We start from the raw sequence: 26639 nt of genomic DNA, 5'->3' as shown, positions 1-26639 counted from the left end.
GGAATCATATTACAGAAAACTGTTAGTTTTTTCTTTCTTCCCTGACAGACCCACAGGAAGGCTGACACTCCCCGTTTTTGAATATTGTAGTGTGAGGATGGGATGCTTGGAGCTATACATTTTCTGATTATTAAAAATAAATCACCAAAAGCTGAGAATGTTGAAAATATTAAAATACCTTAGATCTTTGGAGACAGGATTTAAGAATTGAACAAACTCAGGAATACTCACCCCTTGAACTACTGTTTTGGAAATTACTAAGTGCCTTACTGTATAAACTGTTTCCTTGAGAATTTAGTATACTTTCACAGAGTGTATATATGATAGCTGATACAGTTGTCTTTTACACTGCTATAAAATCAATGCCATGCAAGGGCATAAAATCCATAGTTATTAAACACTGATTTGTTGAGTGAACTTATCAAGGCTTAATGCTTCAATAAACGAAGGCAACTAGTACCTTTCGCTTTTAGAACAGATTTTCTTATGTGGATAAAATAAATAAAACACCCGTTGAGACTGCTGAGTTCTAAATTTTGCTCAATACATAGTTCACTAACTGTTCAGTAAATATAGCATTCCCAGGAGACCTGCTTCTCCTCCTTATACTTATGTGAGATTGAAATACATGTTTGTCTTCTGGTTATTTCGCTGGGACTTCTACCGCTGTAAAGAAATCACACTTCTTACCAATATATCAGAAACTAGTGCAACTTAAAGAGGGCCACCGTGAAAATGGAGTGTCTTTCCCACAGACCAAAATTGAGTGTGTGTTTTTCTATTTCCCTCCATACTTTTTTTTCCTCTCCCCTCTATATTTCTTGTTCTTGTCAGAAGGGCTCATTTGGACAGAGGACCTGGGTGCATGTTCTCTTTTTGTTTGGATTCCAACTTGTCATTACATTCTCAAATGCTTACATCCCTCCTCAAAGCAAAAGCTGCATTTTACAGTCAAAGTTGTGTTTATTGACATTTTCTGAATCCTGAAAATATTGATATTGATAAAAGATACTTAAATACTTTCTTACTTTCACTTTCTGAAAAAAGGAGATAATTTTATTTATACCTAGAATTATGTTTTTAATCTAGGTAACTGCTATAATTATTCATAGTAATATAGGTTTCCACCATAATACATTTTTAAATAGGAACATAAAAAATCTTAGAGTGATATACAGGAAATGCATATATTTCATGGCTAGGGATCAGACAGCCACTGAATTGCATACAATGGAATAATAGTATGGTTTTAATGGTTCAAAAATCTATAGATTTATCCATAGCAAAAATTGTTTGTTCTTTATTTTTTGTCATAGATACTCCTAAGTAAATAATATACTTTAAAATAATATTTTAAATCCCACTTAGCTTTTTTTTATTCACAGAAGGTTTATATTTCTGTTTCTAAGTTAGAAAAAATCATGGAATAAACTTGAGTTTACAATGATGGTGATGGTGATAACAACAGGGGTGATGGCAGTGACGAGGAGGTAGTGGTGAATTTCATTGCTATTGATATCAGCTTTCATTTACTGAGCATTTTCCAGATGTCAGGCATTGTGATGAGCCATTTGCTTGCAATCTATTACCACCTTTCCATGATGTAGGCATTGTTTTTCCTATCTTACCATGCAAACTAAGACCCAAAATGACAATGTTATTTCCTTATTTTAAGGAGTTTGAGGAGAATAAATCTTGAGAGAAGTAACTTGGAAGAGGCCAGGAGAATAATGAATATCTGAAAATTCATCACCTATTAGGGAAAATGCAGAAGGAAGTATCTAATGTCAATGAAAAAAAATTCCATCTGTCTCTGGAGAAAAAATAATCTCTATCTCTATATTTTGCTAGTAAAGAATTTCAGAAGGTTCTGCAGATTCCCTTTAAAAGAGGTGCTGTTTGATGTTTTTGAGTATCTCTGGGGAATAATTTCACACCTGCAAATCCTCTAGAGAACAGGACACAGTGATGTGTAGGACAAGCAAATAGATTTTCCTTTCTTGTTATTTCCCAACAGTTATTTTTTAGCATGGTACCAGCCAGGTTGCAGAGCCCAATAAAATGATAAGCCTGTCTTCCTCAATGTCAGGATAGGCATCAGAATCCACCATCACATGCATCTCTTAGAAATAGAAAAATCTGAATCTGGGCTTTATCAGCGAAAGGGATTATCCTCTAAAATAGTGTGTCTTATTTTGTATCCGTGAAGAATGCTTGTGGGTATAGAGATCTGTGGATGAATCCACTGCCAAACAGGAACAACAAAAAATCCTTTCTTTATTGCAGTTTTATCACTTGAAGGGAAGTGTAGCTGTAACTTGTTTGCTGTCTTAGCAAAGTGGTACTTCCATGCACAGAATTTCCTTGATTCCTACCAGTAGCTCTGTTTCTTATTCTTAATGTTTAGGCTGGGGAAATCAAAGAAGGAATTTCAAACTGAATAATAAAAATCCATTTTAATACTTTAATGTCTTTCTTCCTTTCAATCCATTGTGTCTGACATGGGAATAAAGATCTTTTATCAGGCATTTAGTTTTCTACCTGCAGAAAGTTGGGAACAGGAGTTACTAAAAATTAATTAGATCCTGGCAGTAAATGAATTTTTAGTCCCTGGTGAAGCTGACCTGAAAGAAAAACTTCAGTAATTTTGGAGAATCACATGAGCACACCCATCCCACATAAGCAGGATGGGTATCAACCAACCCATCCATTCATTCATGCATCCGTTTATCTGTCCATCCATCTATTCATCTATCTACCCACTCAGCTGTCCATCCAGTTATCCATCTATTCATTCTTGCATTTTATGTATACATTCATTTATTCATTATAGAACTGCCCAAATTAATATCTTTCATAAGTATTTGGTAACTATCAGTGATCAAGTATTTATTCCTCTTCTATTTAACAATGAACTCATTCTTTCAATCTCTCCTATGGCCTAAAGATTGGGTTTGATAAACTCAACTTAGAAAACTGCAAATCATCACTGTGTAAGTTTATGATTTAAGTTCTTGTCATCACATTACTCTTATGTTGATGAGTGTCTTTGGATAAGATATTTAATTTCCTGTTCCTCATCTAGAAAATGAAGGAGCTAGTCTAGTTGATTAGTAACAACTGCTTTTATTTTTAAATGCTGTTTCTTTCCTACGCTCAAAAGTGAGTGGCCAGCCTCTGTGTTTCTGTCTTCAAACAAAAAGTCCAGTGTAACACATACACTGACTTGAGGGAGAATGTCTTTAGATTTTATGTAAACTTCAGGATGAGGTGCTCATACACTGACAGTACTACATTTTGGAAATATTCCAATTGACATTTATAAATGTCATGGAATTAACTACAGAGATTGCCCCTTCTATTGTGTCCAAATAAGCAAAGAAAGCAACAAACTTTAAAAAGTTAGATCAAAGGATGAAATAAGGGTAAAAGATCAGTCTCATCAATGGTTGTTTTCTCGAGAAGGGATCCTTGAGCAGAAAGTAGATGAGACTTCCTTCCTTCTCAAAGGGCTTAGCTTCTATGTTTGTTAAATTAGATTTGATGCACAAAAACAACTTTGCATCTGCAAATGAGACCTTGTCGACTCCAATTTTGTGTATATGCTGACTTAAAAGGAAGACACAATAAAGGAAACTTAAAGAGATTTATTGATTAAAAAAAACTTGCTCCTTTTACACTTTCATACATTTGCTCACTTCATTGTTCGTATAAGGCCTTCCTCCATTCCATATAAAGTAAACTGCTCTTTCTGATGTTATTGATTATTCTGTGTCTGCTTTCATGGGAATATAAAATAGACATATCATCTCTAAGTCAACGCATACCTGTATCAGCTTGCTATTGGTGGACTGTATGTGCTTTATAATTTGGGGGGGGAAATATCTCCATGATGAGAAGCTTACTAAAGTTAAAGGCAGAAAGATATTTGTCTATCTCCTTGATAGTCCTTTTCCCAGTGGATTGTCAGTTTCTGAAACATTCCAGTTTGACAGCCATTGAGAATTGACATTTTGTGCACTGTTAATAATTTTGTTTTTTTAAATGGCTTTATCTATGCAGACTAATTAATGATGCCTTTTTTCGATAGCTGAATTGTGATTATCTATTAGTTTATATTTGGTAAAGTCAGAATTCATGAAATTATCAGGCCAAGTTCTGACAAGACTAATTTAAATAGTATTTACTTTAATGGGCAATTTACAAAGGGCATGCACACACAGTGTGTTTTGTTTTGTTAACCTAAAGAGAAAACCTGGGGAAATTAAGTTGTGACAGAATGGAGGGGCCTATGAGGAGAAAAAATACAGGGGAGCAAAAGAGAAACTATGTCTGAAGCAGGTCTCTGCCTACTTCACAATAGTAAGATGGGTAAATATACAGCCAAGTAAAGCATCAGTTTTTTTTTTTATCTTAGTGAGTATTACCACTTTGGTGGGCTCTGCAAAATTAGAAATCCTGTCTTCAGAGGCACAGTTAACTATTTCTCCTCCGCAGGAACTAGGATCAGTACATTTGATAAACCTGCCATTACAGCAAGTACATATTCCATATCTGGTATTATTTATCTATTGTTATATAACAATATTACTATAAATGTGGTGAATTAAAACAACACACATTCATGATATTATAGTTTCTGTGGGTTAGGAGTGCCACACAACTTAACAGGGCCCTTTGCTTCATGGTCTTACAAAGCTGCAATCAAAGTCTTGGCTGGCGTTGACAGAGAAGGATCTACTTCTAAGCTCACATGTTTTTTGGCATCGTTTTGTTCCTTGTGGGCTGTTGGCCTGGGGGCCTCTGCTTCTTGCTAGCTAAGAGTCTCAAGGCCTCAGTTCCTTCTAACATGAGCCTGTCCAACATGGCCACTTGATTCCTCGAAGCCAACAAGGGAAATAATCTCCTGGCAAAATGGTCATTATCATCTCAGGTAATGTAATGATGTACATCTTGTTACCTTGCTATATTCCATGGGTTAGAATCGAGTCATAGGTTGCATCCATACTTGAGGGGATTATATAAAGACATGAATACCAGGAGACAATCATGAGTTTTATGTCTCTATACTCATATTATCATATATAGTTGACCCTTGAACAATATAGGGGTTAGAAGCACTGGCCTCCACACAGTTGAAAATCCATGTTTAACTTTTGTCTACCTAAAAACTTAAATACTAATAGCCTACTGTTGACTGAATGCCTTACCAATAACACATATTTTGTATGTTATAGTACTATATGCTGTATTTTTATGATAAAGGAACCTGGAGAAAACATTTTATTAGTAAAATCATAAGGAAGAGAAAATACATTTACAATTCATGAAATAAAAGTGAATCATTATAAAGGTCTTTATCCTTGTCTTCATGATGAGTAGGCTGAAGAGGAGAGGTTGGTTTTACTGTCTCAAGGGTGGCACTGGCAGAAGAGATGGAGGAGATGGAAGGGGAGGCAAGACCAGTAGGCACACTCTATGTGACTTTATGAAAAAAATCACAATTTCTCTCTTTTTGGCTGTATTATTTCTCTAAAAATGTTTTTATATTGTACTAATTATTCTTCCACCCTTTGCTTTAGTTTCAGTATCATAGAAGGGTCCATATGGTTAAAAAAAAAGGCAAAATCAGTCTTGAATAATCAGAACACCTCTAGATTGACTAATGTCAACTTGTTTTCTGGCATTGCTTCTTTTATATTTCTACCTCGTCTGGCACTGGTTTAGAAGCACTCATCTCCATTAAGATGTCTTTGGTTAATTCCTCTGATGTGATGACTATTTGGTGTTTAATTAGATCAAGATCCGTGTCTTGATACCCTTCACTCATTTCATGATTGTCTTGATTGGATCTGTTGTCAATCCTGTGAAGTCATACAACATCTGGAGACAGTTTCTCCAACAAGAATATCTTCTTCCTAGCTTGATGGGTTTCATGGCTTTTTCTATAACAACGATGGCATCATCAATGGTGTAGCATTTCCAGAGTTTCATGATGCTTGGTCTATTGGGGTTATCTTCCATAGTGTTGACAATTCGTCCCATAGAATATGATGTGTAATGAGCTTTAAAGGTCTTTACAATGCTCTCATCTAGAGACTGAATCAGATGGTTTTTAGGAGCAAGTAGATGACTCTGATTCCTTCAGTCTTGGGCATTATCAAGAAAAACTTTAAGAAGAGATTCCTTTCTGGAGAGGTACTTTCCAACTTCAGGTACAAACCATCAATGAAAACAATACAGAAAAAGTGTTCTCATCATCCATACCTTCTTGTTGTACAACCCAAAGATTGGTAGCTAGTATTTATATTTTCTCTTCAAGTCTTGGGATTAGCAACTTTATAGATAAGGGCAGTCCTCATCATAAGCCTGACTGCATTCACATAAAACAATAGTGTTAGACTATCCCTTCTCTTTCTTACCATCAAATGTTCTTTGTGGCATTTTTTTCCAGAGTAGGTCACTTTTGTCTTCATCAAAATCCTGTTCAGGCAGATATTCTTCTCCCTTATGATTTTCTTAATGGCATCTCGGGACTTATGGGCTGCCTCTTGATCAGAAGAAGATGCTTCTCTTGTTATCCTGACATTTTTTAAGCAAAACCTTTTCTAAAATTATCAAACCATCCTTTGCTGCCATAAATTCCCCAGCTTTAGATTCTTAACCTTACTTTGGATTTAAGTTGTCCTGTAATGATTTTGCTTTTTCTCGATTCTGACTCTACGGGTATGCCTTTTTCATAGCAATTCTGCATTCACGTAAAAGCTGCATTTTTAAGACAAGATATACAGGTATTTTTCAAAATATGCAAGGTTTTTGTTCTTGCTGGTACAGATACAGTGATGCATCACAAATTTTCTTTTCTTTTTTCTTATTTATTTGGTAATAACCAGGTGATACAGATTTGGGGGAATAAGGGGTACTGATTCATTCTTTGAACAAATATATACAAATTATATATGTGTATGTGTGTGTGTGTGTATACATTTCTATGTATATATATGTGTGTGTGTGTGTGTGTGTGTGTGTATGATCTTCTTGATTAGCCCTGTTGTCAATTCTGTAAAGTACTGAACACACACACACACACACACACACACACACATTTAATTCATGCTGTATGCCAGACAATATTCCAGTTCTGACAAAAGAAGTGAAAAAGATAAGTATGTGCTCTCCTGGGGCTTACATGCAAGCATGAGAAGACCTTAATGAACCAATAACAAAAATTAGTATGTACCAAGTCAGATGCTATGAAGGTAAACACATTGAGGAAAATGAGGTATGTGCTATTTTAGATTAATAGCCACAGAAGACACTTCAATAAGTTAATGCTGAAGCAGAAACCTAAATGAAGTGAGTGATGTGCTGTGTGGCTATCTAGGGTCCAAGGGAATAGTAACTGAAAATGATCTGAATGAAGTATACATAACAAGCAATTTTAATTACCATCTTACACTTGAGAATACCATTCAGAATTAATGTCTTCCTTTGGCACCGAAATTAGATGTAACTTCCAAAGTCAGAAAGCAAGGTGGTACCATAGCTGCTTAGAACTGTTGAATCTAATTCCAAAGTTAGGATCTGTGCCCCAGACAAGTGGTTCCTCTTTTTAAGCTGCAGAACCCTTTTCCAAGTATATCTTATGCATTAATAAATAAAGTGGACAAAAGTAGAACTGCTCTGCTTGATGAGAAGTTGGGTGGGAGATGCCCAGGATTCATCTTATCTACTACCCATTCTAAAGCACCCGAGTTGTAATGCAATAGCCCTTTAAAGTTTAACTGAAGATAGGAGTTTGAAATCTGTTAGATCTCCTCTGGGGCTACCTTCTGCTTAGCATGACCTAATATCTTTGCAATGAGTTCTTTCTAAGGCTTTGTTCACAATTGAACAGAGTCACTATAAACTTTGGCAGTAATGATAGAAACTGGTGTCCACTTTTTCTTTTCACTACCATTCATAGATGACCAACAGGCTGAAAGACAGATGAGTTTAGTTAAATTGGTAGTTGAAGGGAAAAGAGTGACTTTAATCAGGCAAATAATTCTTCTATAATTGGTCAAGTGTAAGGCCAGTGAAAAATCAGGAACGTTTTTGCATGGCATAAATAAAGTAGAGAGTCCACAGCAGGCTCCTGACACTTGATGTAGATTATCTTTGCTCACTGTAAATGACAGAAAATTCCAGGCAAAGTGTGGTTCTAAGAAACCGTAGCTTAGTTATATCTGCCCTAATTCAAAATAGAAACAATGGGACTGCATGGGACCAAATGCAAAGCAATATTCTTGAACAGAATAAGCCACTATTAAGATACATTTCTACAGATTGCAGAATAAAAACACTTTGCCCTTAAAGAGAAAATAGCTGGGAGAAAAGAGGCCAGGGAGGGGTTAAAACAGATTACTGTAATCAATTAGAAATACAGATGAGCCAAGGCCAGCTGATGCTATCACACTTCATCATTCAAATTCTCATTATCTGGATATACAACAGTAAGTTACTGCAAGAGTACTTTCCTTACTGTAGCGAGAGACATTAATTTCTAAGGAGCCGAACGAGTGACAGTGAGCTTCAGAAGTGGCTTGGTGCTAAATGATTTGACTGTAATTATTCTGAAAGGGCTTTCATCATCATTACCCAACATTCTGCAGATACAGCATGTTTGAAAATAAACTACGGCCAAACTAGTGTCACGTCATTTCAGATTTTAAACATCAAGTATCTGGTTTGCTGATATATTTTTGTGTATGCAAGTGTAGACGAACACAAATGTACGCAGCCGAGCATACGTCATTTTACCGTTGTTTAGCCAATGCATCCGCATTGGTGAGGACTGGGTAATCTATGTGCACAGTTCTCTGACCGTGATAAATGCAGTGAAAGGAAACATTTATTCCTTGCTTCATTCATTCCTGCGACCTAGGCTGAGCACCTGGCATTGTGCTATTACAACAATAAACAAGATGAATAAAACCCTGCCCGAGAGATGTTTTCTATCCAGTGTTCTTCCTGCAAATGCTTGGATTCTCCCTCTTGTTTACACCCTAAAAAGACAGGTCAAAGTCTGTTTGCTTTGCCAGTTTGCCTTAATTATAAGGTTTCCAAGGCCATTAACAGATGAAGCTGTTTACATTGCACAAGTATGTTTAAATTTCACCTCTGTGACCCTTCCTCTCTCTTGTCCTCCGTCTGTCTTCAGGCTCAGGTGGAAGGACAAGTGATCAGGGCAACAGCATAAGTAGACCTCTCTACTTCTACAGAAAAAAAAAGCTAGTGTCCTTGCAAAAGTGTCAGTAGCTTTATATTGTATCACACAGAAAGTTATGAATGTCCGTTTTTACAGTTATTACATAACACATGTTCATGCATGATTATTAGAAATTTCCCTGTTTTCTGCTGTCTGCAATCTGATTATAGAACAATGGACACAAAAACTGCTTAACTACAGCACTAGGCAAATTGTCAGGGAGCAACCCAATAAGTGTGGCTAGCACATTGAATCCTAGAGCCATCCTGAATAAAGGCACGTCAGTGTGGAGACAAAAAGCTGCTTTGTGACAGCAGACCAGTGCAATGGGAGCTAGCTAGGCAGAATTGAAATAGATCACTGCTTGAGTAAAAAGCATTATCCCTGTAGTTTATTTCCTAGTTTCTCATTGCACCTTTGTCTTCACACGACCTACTTCTTTCATCCCCTCTCATATCACTAATTCTAATTTCATACCTTATGCCTGTCCATTTCTCTTCAGCCCTCTGCCATCACCTTGGGGCATGTGGTCATCTTAATTAAAATACCCTCTGAGTAAACCTTTCCTTTAGTCTTTTTCTTTCTAATCCTGCTGCATTCTTAATGCCAAGTCTTCAGTATTTTTCAGTGTGAGTGGGATCGCATCATCCTCCCATTTAAACTTTCCCATTTTGCAGGAATCCAATCTCCTTATCACTGTGGCAGACACTAAATAGTCTGGTCCTTACCCAGCTCTACAAACACAGTTCCTCTATTTTCCAGTCACATTGCCCTTCTCTTGGATCACATAATCCGCAAGGTCTATCTCACCTCAAAGCCTTTATTCTTCTTGTTCCCTCAGCCAGGAAACGTCTTGTCTTTTTTTACTTGTCTTAACTGCCACTTCCTCAGAAAGGATTTCTCAGACTAACCTATCACAGCATCTTCATAGCACTGACCATGTTCAATGATTATTTTCACTTTTGTTCATTGTTTTTATCTCTCAGTAGAATACAGACTTTGTGAAGTCAGAGGCTTTTTTGTCTCATTCACTGTGGTATCCTGATAGCTGAGCTGTGTTTTGTACATAAAGGTGCCCTATAAATCTTTGTTGAATAAATGAGTGAGAAAACAGGTGAGTCAGTCTTTTGACCATAGGTGAACAAGAAATATTCTTGTTATTGATTTCTGTGGTTCTGTTTGGCTTGATCGTGGGTTATAATTTTTATTTAATAAGAATCATTTATTAGTTTAAGAAATTGCCAACATAAATTATACTTTTTTTTGGGGGGGGGGGCAGGTCCTGTTTTGTGCTAAAAAGTAGTTTTCTTTACAATTCTCATGAAAGCATAACAACAAGGATATATGGTTCTATATGTAAGAGAGCTAAGCTTAGAGATAACCTGCCCAAAACCAAACAGCTAATACATTTTAGAAACCATTTATTTCACCAGTCTTTATCATTGCATTATACTCTTTTTTTTTTTTTTTTTGCTTCTTTTTCTCCTCTCTTTCTAGGCTCCCCCTTCATTTAGAAGAGATAAAAAAACTAATATTGATCAAACAGTACCACATGAGTAGACAGTGTTATAAGTATCATCAGCTCACCTGATCTTCACAGTCCATCTATGAATGATTGCTATTATTGTTCTTAATTAAAGGATAAGAAAATTTGTACATAGATCTATTACTTCTGCTTGGAATCACATAGCCAGTAAGAGATTAAGCTGGGATTGGCTTCCAGGTAGTCTAACTCCGAAGGCTCCATTCTGGCTACCTCACTATTCAGTCTTCCTTGTTACGCTATGCTGCTTTTTTGGAAAATCATCTCAACATGTATTATTGAAGAGTAATTATTTTTTTAGTTGCTTACTTAGAGGAGACATAGAAAAGCAACTAAAAAATAAGAATATGTTGCTTAACTGCAGGTAAACTGTAAACGTGGGAATTCTTGCTTTCCCCAATTGGGCAGTGATGTTTGTATTCAACAGCACAGAATGTCTCCTGGTAAAGAAGTAAGAAGTCTGTGTTTGTGTGTTGGGTGGGAGGAGGGGAAGGGAGAGGAAGGGGAGGGTATCTTCAATCCAAAGTTAAACAGGAAATTTGTGAAAACTGGATAGGTGTTGCTGAGACTGATTGACAGTCTCTTTGAGTTCACTCTTGTTCTATTCATAACATGAGAATGGAAAAGAGAAAGAAATTAACATTTACTGCCACTTATTATGTATGTAAACTGTTCAGATATGATGTCATTTATAGCAAAACCAAGAGGTAGTTACTGCTGAAACGAGAAAAGTTCCCTTATCCTCCTCACAGGATGTGTAATTGGTATGTGGCTTACTTCTTTGCTACCCTGCTGCTCAAACCTCTAGCGGGAGCATGCAGATGGGCAGGTTGTGGTGCTCCGGCCCCACGGCAGCGTCTAGGGGTGAATGCTCACAGCTCATGAAGCCCTAGTGGGCAAGTTACAGGGTGCTCTTTTAGTTTTGCCATCTGTAGGTGGCTTGTGCTAATCAGCTCTATTAGACCCCTGCCTTACTGCAAGGACAGAGGGCTTTCTGTATCCCAGGGTTCTTACCTTGGTGTACTGGAAGAATCTGATAACACGTGGGCTTGGAGAAAGAGTGCAAGGCTTTTTTATTGAGCAGTAGCTCTCAGCAAGGAGGATGGGGAGGCCAGAAGGGGGATGGAGTGGGAAGGTGGTTTTCCCCTGGAGTTGGGCGACTCAGTGGCTAGGCTTACCTCCAAATGCCTTGGCCAAACTCCACGTCTTTCTACTGGTCTGTGGTCTGCTGGGTCTGCTGGTGTGCTCTTTCGCCAGTGCATTTTTCTCGACTTCCAGTTACTTGTGTCCTCTTCTGCCAGTGTGTTCTTCTCAACGTCCAGACACTTGTGTGCATGCCTGCTACAGCCTCGGGATTTGTACAGACACATAATGGGGGTGTGGTGGGCCAAGGTGGTCTTGGGAAATACAACATTTGGGCATGAAAACAGAAGTGCCTGTCCTCACCTTCGTCCCTGGGCACAGGCCTGGGATTGGAGCCCTATCCAGGGACCATGCCCTCCCCTTCCCAACACTTCCCCTGCTCCCCTTCCCATATCACTGCTATTATCACAATTTCATAGATGAAAATGTATATAATCAGGGAGCTTAATTAACATGTCCAAGGTCACTCTGCTTGTACATTTTAGATCTGGGTTTGGGTCCAGGTGTATATAATTAAAAAATCAGGGTTCTTCCAGAATTATCTGTTTGATTTATCAGACGTATATACTTTCTAGAATGAAAAATACTACTTTTGTGAATTTTAAAAGAGATTGAGAAACAGTAAGCTAAAGCCATAGAAAATCCTTAGGAAACAAGGCACACGTGACTACCTAAACGGTATCAAAATGTCTTGAAAGAATCCATCACTGTGACTCAGGGCGTAATTTAGATTTTGGTTGAAATTATGTTCTTGTTCCATTAATAGTACTTCCTGATGTTACTAGATAAATAGTGGGTGAACATTTATTTGATAATACAGATTACTAAGTAGTATGTTTCAAATTAACTCTCATCTCCCCACCTCCGACCCAGTGTTCAGGAGAGATGTGCAAAACATTGTTAATATGCTTCTTTATCACAGTGAAATCACAACATATCAATATCTAAGGAATTTTAAAGATAAAGATACAAAGAAACCTAGTGCCTAACCCATGAGCCAACTATAAGTTTAATTTTTCTAAATTCCTTTCACTTTCAAGTTTTCTGAATGTATTTATATTAACTTTTAGACAGTGTTATATTTTACATTTTAACTTGAAATATGGTTATAAAATTTTTCTCTGTTATATTTTCCACAGCAGCTATATTTAGTGGCACTAAAAGATTTTATTGGTTGCTGCCTTCAATATACTTAACCACTTCTCTACTGAGGCATATATAATTTACATTTTCCTTTTCATTACTGTGCTGATGCTAAACTTAGTTTTTTGTGCATTTACTGATTTTACTGAATTAAAAGCTGTATCTGTTTTTCAGTCTTTCTCCTTTTTTTGGCTTCATCAGACAAAACACTAAGACTTTAAGCATTCTTTTTCCTTAATCAGTACAAAATTTTATACTACATTCATGTCATTTATCTATCTTTTATAATTATCAAGGCTGGACATTTTTTCTATGTGTTTATTTACTATATTTACCTCTCTGTACGGCTTATCTGTTTTATACTCTTTTCTAATATACCTATTGGAGTCCTAATTATTACATATATACATAAATGAATAATTTTTATATAGGTGTTAATACATTTTAATTTAATTTACATCTTTTTTTCTTTTTTTAAAATTTTGGTTTTTACATTGCTATAATAGAACAATTGTGTATTCAAATCTGTTGGTCTTTTAATTTGTGACTTTTTTCTATAGTTTAGAAATATTTTAAAAGTATTTACCTCTATGAATATACTTTAGTGCAGTATATTCATTTATTTGGGAAATTATAAATATAAGGATATAAGGATAGCAAATACAAGTTTTGTAAGTAGGTCTCTCTCAATGACAGACAGCCCTGAACCTTTACAGTGGCCTTCCTACCTGCCCTTCCCAACCTTTTCTCCACTAAATACTGTCCTCCAGGAAAATCCCTCTCAGTTGACCGCATTGAAATATGAAATTCAATATTTTTTGTCAGACCTGATATAGGGTGAGGTTATACATGCAACTACATGCAGATTTTCTGTTTTACTTTCCTAACTTGCTTCTACAGATTACAAACACTTAAGAAATCATCCATTCTTTCTCTCCTTTCTTTGGAGATATGTACTTTGTCTTATCCAAAGTCCTTTATATAGTTTGGATTTTTGCTTTGGGTGGATCTCTTGTTTTTTCTCTACCCTGATCTACTTTACTTCTGCCCTAATCATTTTAGTAATTGATAATGTATATTTTATCCCTTTTGGGAATAGACTCTCACCAACTCATATGTAATTCTTAGAATAATCTTTGATACTACCTACTATTTATTTTTTGAATAGATAATATTAAATTTGTAATATACATATATAATTGATATGGTTTGGCTGTGTCCCCACCGAAATCTCATCTTGAGTTGTAACTCCCACAATTCCCATGTGTCATGGGAAGGACCCAGTGGGAGATAATTGAATCATGGGAGTGGGTCTTTCCCATGCTGTTCGCATGATAGTGAATAAGTCTCACAAGATCTGGTGGTTTTAAAAAATGGTAGTTTCCCTGCACAAGCTCTTTCTCTCTTTCTCTATTTGCCTGCCACCATCCACGTAAGATATGACTTGCTCCTCTTTGCCTTCCACCATGATTGTGAGGCCTCCCCAGCCATGTGGAACTGTAAGTCCATTAAACCTTTTTTTTTTTTTTTTTTGTAAATTGCCCAGTCTCAGGTATGCAGTTATCAGCAGCATGAAAATGGACTAATAAAGTAAATTGGTACCAGTAAAGTGGGACGTTGCTGAAAAGATACCCGAAAATGTGGAAGCAACTTTGGAACTTGGTAACAGGCAGTGATTGGAACAGTTTGGAGGGTTTAGAGGAAGACAGGAAAATGTGGGAAAGTATGAAACTTTCCAGAGACTTTGTTGAATGGCTTTGGCAAAAATGCTGATACTGATATGAACAACAATGTCCAGGCTAAGGTGGTCTCAGATGAAGTTGAGGAACTTGTTGGCAACTGGAACAAAAGTGACTCTTGTTATGTTTAGCAAATAAACTGGTGTCATTTAGCCCCTGCCCTAGAGATTTGTGGAACTTTGAACTTGAGAGAGATGATTTAGGGTATTTGGCAGAGGAAATTTCTAAGCAGCAAAGCATTCAAGAGGTGACAGGTGACATGGGTGCTGTTAAAGGTCTTCAGTTTTATAAAGGAAGTGGAGCATAAAGGTTTGAAAAATTTGCACCCTGACAATATGACAGGAAAAAAAAAAACGCATTTTCTGAAGAGAAATTTAAGCTGGCTGCAGAAATTTGCGTAAATAATGAGGAGCTGAATGTTAATCCCCAAAACAATGGGGAAAAAGTCTCCAAGGCATGTCAGAGGTCTTAACAGCAGCCCCTCCCATTACAGGCCCAAAGGTCTAGGAGGAAAAAATGGTTTTGTGGGCTGGCCCCAGGGTCCCTGTGCTGTGTGCAGCCTGGGAACATGGTGTCCTGTGTCCCAGCTGCTCCAGCCATGGCTAAAAGGGGCCAAGTTATAGCTTGGGCTGTTGCTTCAAAGGGTAGAAGCCCCAAGCCTTGGCAGCTTCCATGTGGTGTTGAGCCTGCAGGTATACAGAAGTCAAGAATTGAGGTTTGGGAACCTCTGCCTAGATTTCAGAGGATGTATGGAAATGCCTGGATGTCCAGGCAAAAGTTTGCTGCAGTGATGGGGCTCTCATGGAGAACCTCTGCTAAGGCAGTGTGGAAGGGAAATGTGAGGTCAGAGCCCCCACACAGAGTTCCTACAGGGGCACTGCCCAGTGGAGCTGTGAGAAGAGGGCCACTGTCCTCCAAACCCCAGAATGGTAGATCCACTGACAGCTTGCATCATGTGCCTGGAAAAGCTGCAGACACAACACCAGCTTGTGAAAGCAGCCAGCAGGGAGTCTGTACCCTTCAAAGACACAGGGTTGGAGCTTCCCAAGACCCTGGGAACCCATCTCTTGCACCAGCATGACCTGGGTGTGAGACATGGAGTCAAAGGAGATCATTTTGGAGCTCTAAGATCTGACTGACCCGCTGGATTTCAGACTTCCCTGGGGCCTGTAGCCCCTTTGTTTTGGCCAGTTTCTCCCATTTGGAGTGGCTGTATTTACCCAATGCCCCACCTCCATTGTATGTAGGAAGTACATACAATGTACTTGCTTTTGATTTTACAGGCTCATAGGCAGCAGGGACTTGCCTTGTCTTGGATGAGACTTTAGACTGTGGACTTTTCAGTTAATACTGAAATGTGTTAAGACGTTGGGGAACTGTTGGGAAGGCATGATTGGTTTTGAAATGTGAAGACATGAGATTTGGGAGGGGCCAGGGGCAGAATGATATGGTTTGGCTGTGTCCCCAGCCAAATCTCATCTTGAATTGTAACTCACAATTCCCACGAGTCATGGGAGGGACCCAGTGGGAGGTAATTAAATCATGGGGGTGGGTCTTTTCTGTGCTGTTCTCATGATAGTGAAGAAGTCTCATGACATCTGATGGTTTTAAAAAATGGGAGTTTCCCTGCACAATCTCTCTCTCTCTTCCTGTCACCATCCATGTAAGATGTGATTTGCTCCTCCTTGCCTTCCCCCATGATTGTGAGGCCTCCCCAGCCTTGTGGAACTCTAAGTACATTAAACCTTTTTTTTTTTTTTTAAATTGCCCAGTCTTGGGTATGTATTTATCAGCAGTGTGAAAACAGACTAATATAGTAATAATATGTAAATACATCACGGGAGACAGAATTGTTAAGTATATTTTGAAGTTATTAGATAATTGAACAGTTCTATCAGCATTGTACATAACAAGGAATTTTTTGAGGTATTAAAAATAACTCAGCTAAATTCTCCTCCTTCTACAGTTAAAAATATAAAAAGATTTTGGACTTTTAGAGATCCTAGCATACATTTTCATTTTCATAGTGTTTTTAATTCATGAAATAGATTATTATTATCAATAATATAACAATAAGGAAACTGTGGTTCAGAAACATTGTTTATACAAGATTGTATACCTATGGACTTGACAGAGTCAGACCTTGAACCTAGGTTTTTCAACTTGAAGACATAATGATTTTTCTCTTCAATCCATAGTATACAGTAGAGATAAATTGGTAGTTTTCATATGGCCTGAAATTTCAGAGATATTCAACTTTCTGTGTCACTAATATAATTTCCCCTGTAGATTCTTATGGTTTCAGGTATTTTCACTGGAATGTACAATCACATGAGTGAACACAACTGGAAATTGCTTTAGTGTTTGCTTTTCCAAAATAATTGTGATAATTGTGTCAGCTGGAGCATATAAATGGTATCAATAAGTCTCTTATTCTCTATCAGATGCTATTTTCATCTCCCTGGTCTATGAGTATAATTGCTTTAAAAAAGTATTTCCAACATGACCATTAAATAGTTATAATATCCTAGAATACGTAAACAACAAATACATCAAAAATAAATGTTTAGCAATTGGGTCTGTGAATTGGGATGCACTTATACTGAAATCATCACTGTAAACTCCTTTGACAAGTTTTAATGGCTGCTGGAATGGTTTTTCAGGTAATAGCTCAAAGGGAAAACAAATTTAAGTAAAGAGTCTTTTTTTCCTCTTTAAAAGAAATTCATTAGCATATACTAAATGAGCTAGTCTATGAACTAGATAAAAATCACATAGAATCAGACTTGCTTTTAAACATTAGGAAAGTAGCAAAGTGATGGTGGTTAGTATTATAGATTTACCTCATTAATGGAAGATGATCTTGAAGGACTAGAAAAGAGATGAGATTGCTGTAGCTCATTTGTGAGTCAAGGCTCAAACTGAGCTGCTGTGGGTATTAAGAATTGAGTCTCTTTTGTTCAACTACTAATTTGCTGTAATACTCTGAGGATATCCATTAAGGCCAGGAATTGATCCTCACCCTTTAATTGTTAAGGTAGATGTCTCTCTTTCTAACTCATTAGGGTAATAACAACAATACTTTTCTAAAGGAGCTCAGCAGAGCTTGGGGATCCTATATAACAGCAGTTAGTTCTTGAGTGTAGGGAAATTTATTTTCTGAGGGTATTTAATGAGACCAGTGGTGGCTCAGGGAAACAGGAACATTGAGAATATGGCGTTGGATGCCTTTTTTTCCCCCTCTGGAAAATCTGTTTTTTCCAGAGATCACTGTTTCAGTATGCATCAGATTCTCCTTCCTCCAGATTCGGTGTTTATAAAAAGAATCCCTGAAAAAATCTAATATCCATTTTGGTAAAGTTGTGTGTAAGTGGCTGTGGGGGAGAAGGTAAGGTAGAAAATTAAAGGGTCACAGTAAGGGCAATAAGAAAACATACTGTCTTGATTTCCCTATGGCCAAACCACAGAAGAAAACATTTTGAATGCAAAGGGAATGCTATTTCACTCACTGAATAAGAAAACAGTTCATTCTGTGGCTATTAATATTTCCTAGTTTATTAATTACCAACATTCTTAAAACTTTTCTTTTTTTTTCTTCTCCCAAAGATGAGAACTGGTAACTGAGTCTGCACGAATACATGTCTAACTAGAATTCGCAACTCATGAGGATGTGCGCTAAGATCTAACCATTTTTTTTTTAATCACTTCTTAGTGTATCAAGCAGGAAGTTGATTTCTGTGTCATTTTGTACCACATTTTTGATGTTCTGCGGCAGGGATTTTTCGATAGCAGAAGATATCTTAGGATAATGATACCAATTAGCTAACAGGACAGAGATCTGTATCTGGGCCATGTCTCTGTGGTTTAATGGGGAAAATTGTGAGGCAATACCATGAGACACCAGCTCAGCCCTTGAGTGACTTTAGTCAGGGCAGCAGTACTGCACCATCAGTATTGGGTGGCCATTTTAAAGACTTGGTAAATGGCATAGTAAGTCATGCACGTGCATGTGCGCACAGACACACACCCACACACATTTAAATTCTGCTCCTGATTCCTTTGCAAAGGGCAAGTGGAAGCGGACGATCTCTCACTCTCATTTGTTTTAAATGTGAGTTAGTTAGTCTTTTTTTCTGCTGGAGACCTCTGGATCAAAGTTCTTTTCTCTAGGAGAAAGGAGAAACAGCAAGTTTATTTATAAAATCTCTTAAATTTTTTACAATGCCTTTTTTTGCACAGCTGCTAAAATTACTGTTATTTTATCCTCTCACAAGAAATACCTCACTGGATGCAAACAATAACCTGGTGGCAGGTTGGATTATCTCCAAGTTACTCAGCAATTACTGCACAATATTGTGATCTGGCTGCTTTCTTTTCTGAGTTTATTTTCTGCTCTCTTCCTCTGTCTCCCCTTGCTCTAGTCGCATTGACCTTTTAGCTTCTTTTCCCAGCTCAGGAAGTTTGCTTGTGTTTTTAGATCTATCTGAAACATTTTTCACACTCTCCCTTTGCCTAATTCCTACTCAACTATTAGATTTTCCCTTCCATATCACTTCCTTGAAGTTTTTCTTGAAACTTCTACTAGGTCCTGCATGCCCGCCAGTCCTGTATAGGGTGCCTGTCCCACAGCGGCCCTTACATTTACTATATGGCTCTTACCATAGTGATTAATGTAATTGTTTACTGGCTATCTTTCTGTTGACCCTGATGTCTAGGTGGAAGAAAACCTGCCTGTGTTTTTGTCAACACCTAGCAATTCCAATCACATAGAAGATACTCAATAAATAGGTATTCAGTACATGAATGGCTGGTATCTATGCTATAAAGCCAATTAATGTCAAAATTGTGACTAGAGCTTACTTAACAGTTCAGATTTCAGAAGTTTATATTCTGTGTTGTAGGAAACAGTTGTATACCTACTATCTAGCTTTGACTTTCTATCTTAGTGAGAACTCATAAATGGTTTGTAATTGTTGCCGAAAACAATGTTAAGTGAACCAAAGACTAAGTCTGTCAGATTTTGGTGAATGTGAGAAAAGAGTCAGAAGAGAAAGGAAATAAAATACGAGGAAAGTAGAGAGGTATATAACTGTTGTTGGGGTGAATTAGATAGTTAATGAGAAGAAAGTCAGAAAACTACTGAAGGCAACCACGGTGAAATTGGCTTCCAGATCAGGCCCTCAGGCCAGATAGGTTTGGCCTTGATGGAAAGACCATTAGAAAGTATCCAAAGCTGCCATTATAGCCTTAATCATATGACCTATCCATCCTCAGTTTCTAACTTGGTAAACTGAGTGTTAGATTACATAACTTCTGAAATCTCTTCCATCTTCAAAGTCTGAATTTTGCCCTGAATGCTTTTTAGCTCACAGGGAACTAGATTTCAAGGACCTAACCACAGATATCTTAAAAAAAAAAAAAAAAGAGGCTTGAGGATTGCTTCCTTTTCTAAATGTACATGTTTTATCTCTCTCATTCTTTATTATCCATTTCTCTTATTTCCCATAGCTATTAATTCACTTTTTAATCTAGCTGCACCAGTGCTATCCAAATCTGCCAATACAGGACCATGCAAATTACTTATAAACCATATTAAAAACCAGATTCTTGGCCGGGCACGGTGGCTCAGGCTTGTAATCCCAGCACTTTGGGAGGCTGAGGTGGGTGGATCACAAGGTCAGGATTTCAAGGCCAGCCTGGCCAAGATGGTGAAACCCTGTCTCTACTAAAAATGCAAAAATTAGCTGGGCATGGTGGTGGGCACCTGTAATCCCAGCTACTTGGGAGGCTGAGGCAGAGAATTGCTTGAATCCAGGAGGCAGAAGTTGCAGTGACCTGAGATTGCGCTACTGCACTTCAGCCTGGGGGACAGAGCGAGACTCCGTCTCAAAAAACAAACAAACAAACAGATTCCTGGGTCTCACCTTTAAATAATCCGATTTAGAAAGTCTGGGGCTAGGCAACGTGGTTCATGCCTATAAACTCAGCATTTTGGGAGGCTGAGATGGGCAGTTTGCTTGAGGCCAGGAGTTAGAGACTGGCCTGGTCAACATGGCAAGACCCTGTTTCTACAAAAAAAAGTACAAAAATTTGCCAGACCTGGTGGTGCACCCCTGTAGTTCCAGCTACTCAGGAGGCTGAGGCATGAGAATTGCTTGAGCCTAGGAGTTCAAGGCTGCATTGAGCTATGATTACATGATCACGCCATCCTGGGTGTCAAAGAACCAGTCTCAAAAATAAAAAACAACAACAACATAGAAAGTGTGGCATAAATCCCATGGATCTGGACTTTTATTAACCTACCCTGGTGAATTTAAGACAGCTGTCTTATGGGTAAGCATTTAAGAAACAATGGATTTAGTCTTTGGTTGTCCTGCATTATCAAAGAATATTTGAATCAGTTTAACTCACTCATAGGGCAAGTTTGGAGTAAGCAGTAAAAGCATGTTGGATTATATCTAGACAATGTTCTCGTTCAATAGGCCAACATATGGTAACTGGTTTCCACATTTATGCTTTAGTGATGTAATGGGCTTGGGAGACACTGGAGATTTTATACTGAGCCCTGTCATGCACTAAATAGGAGGTGACATGTTATATAGAAATGCAGGCTTTAACCACGGTATCTTGGCTTTTTTCCGAGTTGAGGTAACTCTGGCTTCTTAGTTGGACCTCTTCTCCACCCCTCACACTTGGCTGTGGGATTTGTTAAAGTGTTTATCTTTACTTCTTGTTATGTTACTGTTTGTTATTAAACAGTTACTGCATTTTCCCTCTAGACATGACTGTGTTTTAGTAGTGGGCGATGTGATTGCCTATATATAATTGTTAAGGCACTTTGGAATACTTCTGGAGAAAAATGACTATATAAATGGAAGTCATTACTGTTGTGCTTAAATTAGAATTTCTAGTTTGAGTGTGAAGGCTTGGGATGTAACCCACTTCTGATTGCAGGGGAGTCAACATTTCATATCATTAGTGAATTGACTCATCCAAATGAAGGCCCTGATTCAGAATATTATTCACTTAAGTATCAAGATAGTCATCCAGGGTTGAAGGTAGAGAGGGAGGAGCACATAGGCAGATAGGTGAGATAATAGATCATTGAATTCCATTATATTGTTATACCAGTTGTGATCATACAAAGACCTCTGCAGGCCAGTTGGAGTTATCTCAACATCTTCCCTAGAGGTACTGAAATGAATACCAACTTGGACTCTCAGTACTCATAAGTAGGAAAAGCAATATCTCCATTTTCCTTCCAAAAAAAGCAAATTTGTATCTTGTCTTAGGTTAGTCAACAAAAACGCTTCCCTATAATTACCATTTGCACTTTTCTACCAGGTTATTCCCCGTTGATGAACATACACTCTTCTTGTACCACTCAGTCTTCAGTCTCTCTTATCCAGCCACATCATCCTCTGTTATAAGTCAAATATGCCAGACATATCCACTCCTTAAGGACCTTGCATTGCTGTTCCCTTTGGCTAAAACCTCTTCCTCAAGATATGGTAGCTCACTCCATCTCCTTCTTCAGGTCCTGGATCAGTTGGTAGTGGAGACTCCCCTGACTATTCTTCTGTTTTTGTTTTGTTTTGTTTTGTTTTGTTTTGTTTTGTTTTGTTTTGTTTTGTTTTGTTTTATAGAGATGGAGTATTACTCTGTCGCCCAGGCTGGAGTGCAGTGGCGCAATCTCAGCTCGCTGCAACCTCTGCCTCCTAGGTTCAAGCAATTCTTCTGCCTCAGCCTCCCCAGTAGCTAGGACTACAGGTGCACACTGCCAAGCCCAGCTAATTTCTTTTGTATTTTAGTAGAGACAGGGTTTCACCACGTTGCCCAGGCTGGTCTCGAACTCCTGAGCTCAGGCAATCCGCCTGCGTCAGCCTCCCAAAGACTATTCTTAAAACTTCATTCCTACTCCTAGACCCTAGCCTCTCCTAGCTCCATTCTTCATTTATTTTATCTTTACAGTATTTATAACTATTAGATATAGTATAAATATTACTTATTTATTTACTGTCAATTTCTTCTTTAAAGTATAAGAGCAGGGATTTGGCCAGTATTTTTTCACTGCTATATATACCATGTCTAGAACTACACCTGACATTTGATAGTTATGCAATAAATTTGTTGAATGAATGGATGCAGGACTGATGAATGAACACTATGATAAACCACATTATATGCAAAGTAATTGACTGGGAATTATTGTGAAAGATAGGAGAAAGGAATCTGTTTAATCACTTTAAATTTTAAAGATTATTGTCTTTAGATGGTTCTCCTTCTTATCTTCTTATAAAGACTTAGAAAAAGCTCTTTTTGGGTTCGGGTATTCCCAATGTACTTAGGCTCTTCCATGAGTCTACTAAAATGAACCAGGTTTTAAAAATAAATTAACTGGTGAAGAAATATCATATATTTATTCAATAAATGTTTAATTAATGCTTACTTTGTGTTAGTTTTTGGGCAGCTATGAGAATGCAATAGAATCCAGTTATACACATGCAGTCACTGCTATAATGACTTTTAGTTTTAGTTGGCGAAGATGGACAGTTAAAGGTGCAGTAAACTGAAAAAAAAATATTCTATTATAGTCAGGGAATGCGTAGGACGAGTACTTAAGAGTAAAAGGGAATAACAGAAGTCCTACTGGTAGAAATGCTTCTTATACTGAAACTGGAATAGAAAGTAAGAGCTGGCTAGGCTGAGAAGAGGAAAGGAGATCGAGTCAGAAAGAGAACATGTAGGATGATGAATGTTCTGTATTCAAAGGATTGCAGGAAGAATAGTATCTTGAGGACTTTGGGTAAAAAGTTAAAGAGTGTCAGGAAGAGAAGCTGCAGAGGGAGCTCTGGGACCTTAGAATTGTGTTGAAGTAAACATTTTACTGCTACAGTAATACAAAGCTGTAGTAGTCCTTTATGTCATTCACAAATAGTCTGCTTCTCTTTTCTTCAGCATATAGTAAGGTTGAATTTATCCACCCTCTTGAAGTTAAGGGTGGCCATTGAATTGCTCTGGTTGACTAAATGTAGGTGGAAGTGACATGTTTTACATCCAAGCAGAACCCTTACAAGCCACTATTACATTCCTCCCTACTGCAAGGATTCAGTGATCTGATCACTGAAGTTCCAACAGCCTGGATCCTTGAATGCCAGTAACAATCAGAGTCACCTGCTGAACTACTTTAGACATGTAGTTTGCATGAAAAAAATGTTATTTTATTTGTTTAAGCCATTCACATTTGGTAATTGTTTCCTCCTGCAGAATAAGCTTGACTCTCAGGAATAACAAAAATAATCAATAGGTGTATAAAATAGTAAAATGACTTTTTGATAGACTATATTGGTTGCTGTGAAAAAACTGGGTTGGAGTCAGAAAGACCAGAAGCCTTGAGGCCAGTTTCAAGGCTGCTGGAGGAATCTAACTGAGAGAAGTTGCAGGAATCACAGGTATTTTTTACAAATATCAGATGGGAGAATAGTGGCTGAGAGCAGGACTACAGGCATTCATAGTGGGAATAGGAAGAAAAAATGTGCAGATTCAAAATGTATTTGATCAGCAGAACCAAGAGAACCTGGTAACTGATAGGATATAAGGATGTGAATGAAAAGAAAAAGCATTAATTAAATTAATTTAATTAATTAAAGGCATTAATTAAATGCTCTGGTTTGTGGCATGAAATCGGCAGGATATATAATATTAAAGTGAGAATATTGTCATTAAGACTATGAAAGAAAAATGGTTCAGTTTTAGAAATGATGGATTTGAGGTGCTTTTCTAAGATCCAAGTCTAGGTATAGGTAGACATTTTGTTTTTTTAAAAAAAACAAATTAGGGCTCAAGAAAGAGTTCTGAGCCAAAGGTATAAACATGTGAAATATTAGGATATAGTTGATCATTTAAACCAAAATTGTAGATGAGATCACACTGAATGTGTGTGTTCAAAATGCAGTTGAGCATGTCCCAGGATGATGCTGGTTAACTGGTAAATACATGATGACAGAAAATTGCAATAGCACATAATCCTGGAAAACAGAGCAGAATTTAAAAAAAAATCCAGGCAGATTTGATTCCAGACAACAAACACTGAATTGGGGAGTCCAAAATATGACTTATATTTTTATTTATTATTTTCTTACACTAAAGACTGAATCAGTTATAATATAAATTATATATTCATTCTGCATGTACAGAAGACTTCATAATACATTATTTTTAAGATCTGTGGCCTTTTCAAGAGGAGGCATTTGCATCTTTATTTTATTCTGTTATTTGAATCAATAATCAGAAGTAAAGTCTAAAATTTTAGCTAGAGATAAACTGTTCTCTCCATTTAATTATTTTTTAGGGACCTTAAGTGATAAGCTTATTCATATTGCATAACTCATACATAAATAACTTGATAAGCTCAATACACAAATGAGTTCAATTATGATGCTGTTGTTATGATCAGTTTATTTGCCTGTTCATTCAGAACTATTTTTTTTTCCTGTGCCTAGCATAGGTATCACAAAATAGGCAATATGATTTCATTGGTCATCTGTTGCAGAATAAATTATATTGATATGATTAGGTATCCTGTAGTTGACAAATTAATGGTCACTCATCATGATGCACAATTTATATGTATTTGGGAATGCAGAAGCTTGTGATTTCTGATAAACATTATAACTTTTAAAGTTGACATATTTTCTGATAATAAATATCTTGTTATTTGCTTATATTTATTTTGTTCATTTTAGGACTATTAAAAAGTCCTCGGGCATAATTTTTAAATAAAAATATAAACATTTAACACTGAGTCATGCACTGAAGTTAGAGAGATTAAATAGGACAAAGATCTTTAGTTTCTAACTGTCTCCAGGCAGATGGGGTGGCAGATTAGTGACAAGGTTACAAAGGAATATCGGAAGAAAAGAATGTAGGCTATGGTGTCAATGGAGAGAGACATGAATTCTGTCTTGAGAAAGCAAGAGGCTCTTTGCTCCAAAATGATTTTCGACTTGGATTTTGAAGGATAAGTATGAGCTACCTAGACCAATAAGGAAACAAACTCACTTGAAGTAAGAGCAACAGCATTTGCAAAACATTTGAAATAAAATAGAATATGGCTAGGCCCATTTTGAGGATTGCAAAGAGTCAGTCATTCAATAGGGCTGATGGCTAGCATGAATATCAAAGGGTAAATAAAGAGGCAGGAAATGTTAATGTTCAATAGAATTTCAGGTTGGCTTTAATTTAAACTTAAGTTGATCCCCTCCCTACAGAGAAGGGATTGGGAAAATTGGTAGTTTTGAATCTACAGCTTTTACATTTTCAATTATTCATGTTAGCTAGTCTACAAAGAGCTGCGGGTTAGTCCTAGACAATCATAATGCACTAAAGGAGAAGCCTCTTTATAATTAATTTGCATTTACAACACATCTCATATAAGGAATTGGTTTATCTAATTGGCCCCACTGGATCATTTGTAATAAATTTAAAATGGTGTCCAGGAGACTATTTTGGAGAATGGCCTGCAGAAGTTGTAGGAACCACCTGTATTTCAGACCTATCAACAATTTTTTAGAAACTCTATTGGTGATGGATTCCAAATATCTAGTTTCTGTCACTAACTAACTGGGGGAACTTGGGTTTCTGGACCCATCTCGGAATTTTAGCCTCAGTCTCCTTATCTAGAAAGCAGAGAAGTTGGAATAAACAATATCTAAGGCCCCTTCCATTTCTGTATCTTGTAATTTTATAACTTTACTACATTAAGAATTCTTAATTTTCTTAGACTATAGCATAGAATGATAGAAACTATCAATTGCATTAA

General features: G+C 37.2%; 1 protein-coding gene across 17 annotated transcripts in view, besides 1 other annotated feature; it reads left to right on the top strand.

Annotated features, from left to right (window-relative positions):
* Positions 1-26639, top strand: part of LRRC4C (leucine rich repeat containing 4C) — a 1345454-nt gene that overhangs the window by 260225 nt on the left and 1058590 nt on the right. The window lies entirely within an intron of this gene.
* Positions 4645-4817: a silencer, noted in NCBI's record as "fragment chr11:41216161-41216333 (GRCh37/hg19 assembly coordinates)". NCBI's record gives its function as "represses an EF-1alpha promoter that drives an FKBP-Casp9 reporter gene in an ReSE screen in phorbol 12-myristate 13-acetate-treated (for megakaryocytic differentiation) K562 erythroleukemia cells {active_cell/tissue: K562(+PMA)}" and the evidence as "EXISTENCE:reporter gene assay evidence [ECO:0000049][PMID:32094911]".

The sequence above is a fragment of the Homo sapiens genome, chromosome 11 (assembly GCF_000001405.40).
Source record: "Homo sapiens chromosome 11, GRCh38.p14 Primary Assembly".
Classification (NCBI taxonomy): Eukaryota; Metazoa; Chordata; class Mammalia; order Primates; family Hominidae; genus Homo; species Homo sapiens.
Note: the sequence above shows the minus strand (reverse complement) of the source record. Positions and strands in the feature narration are given on the sequence as shown.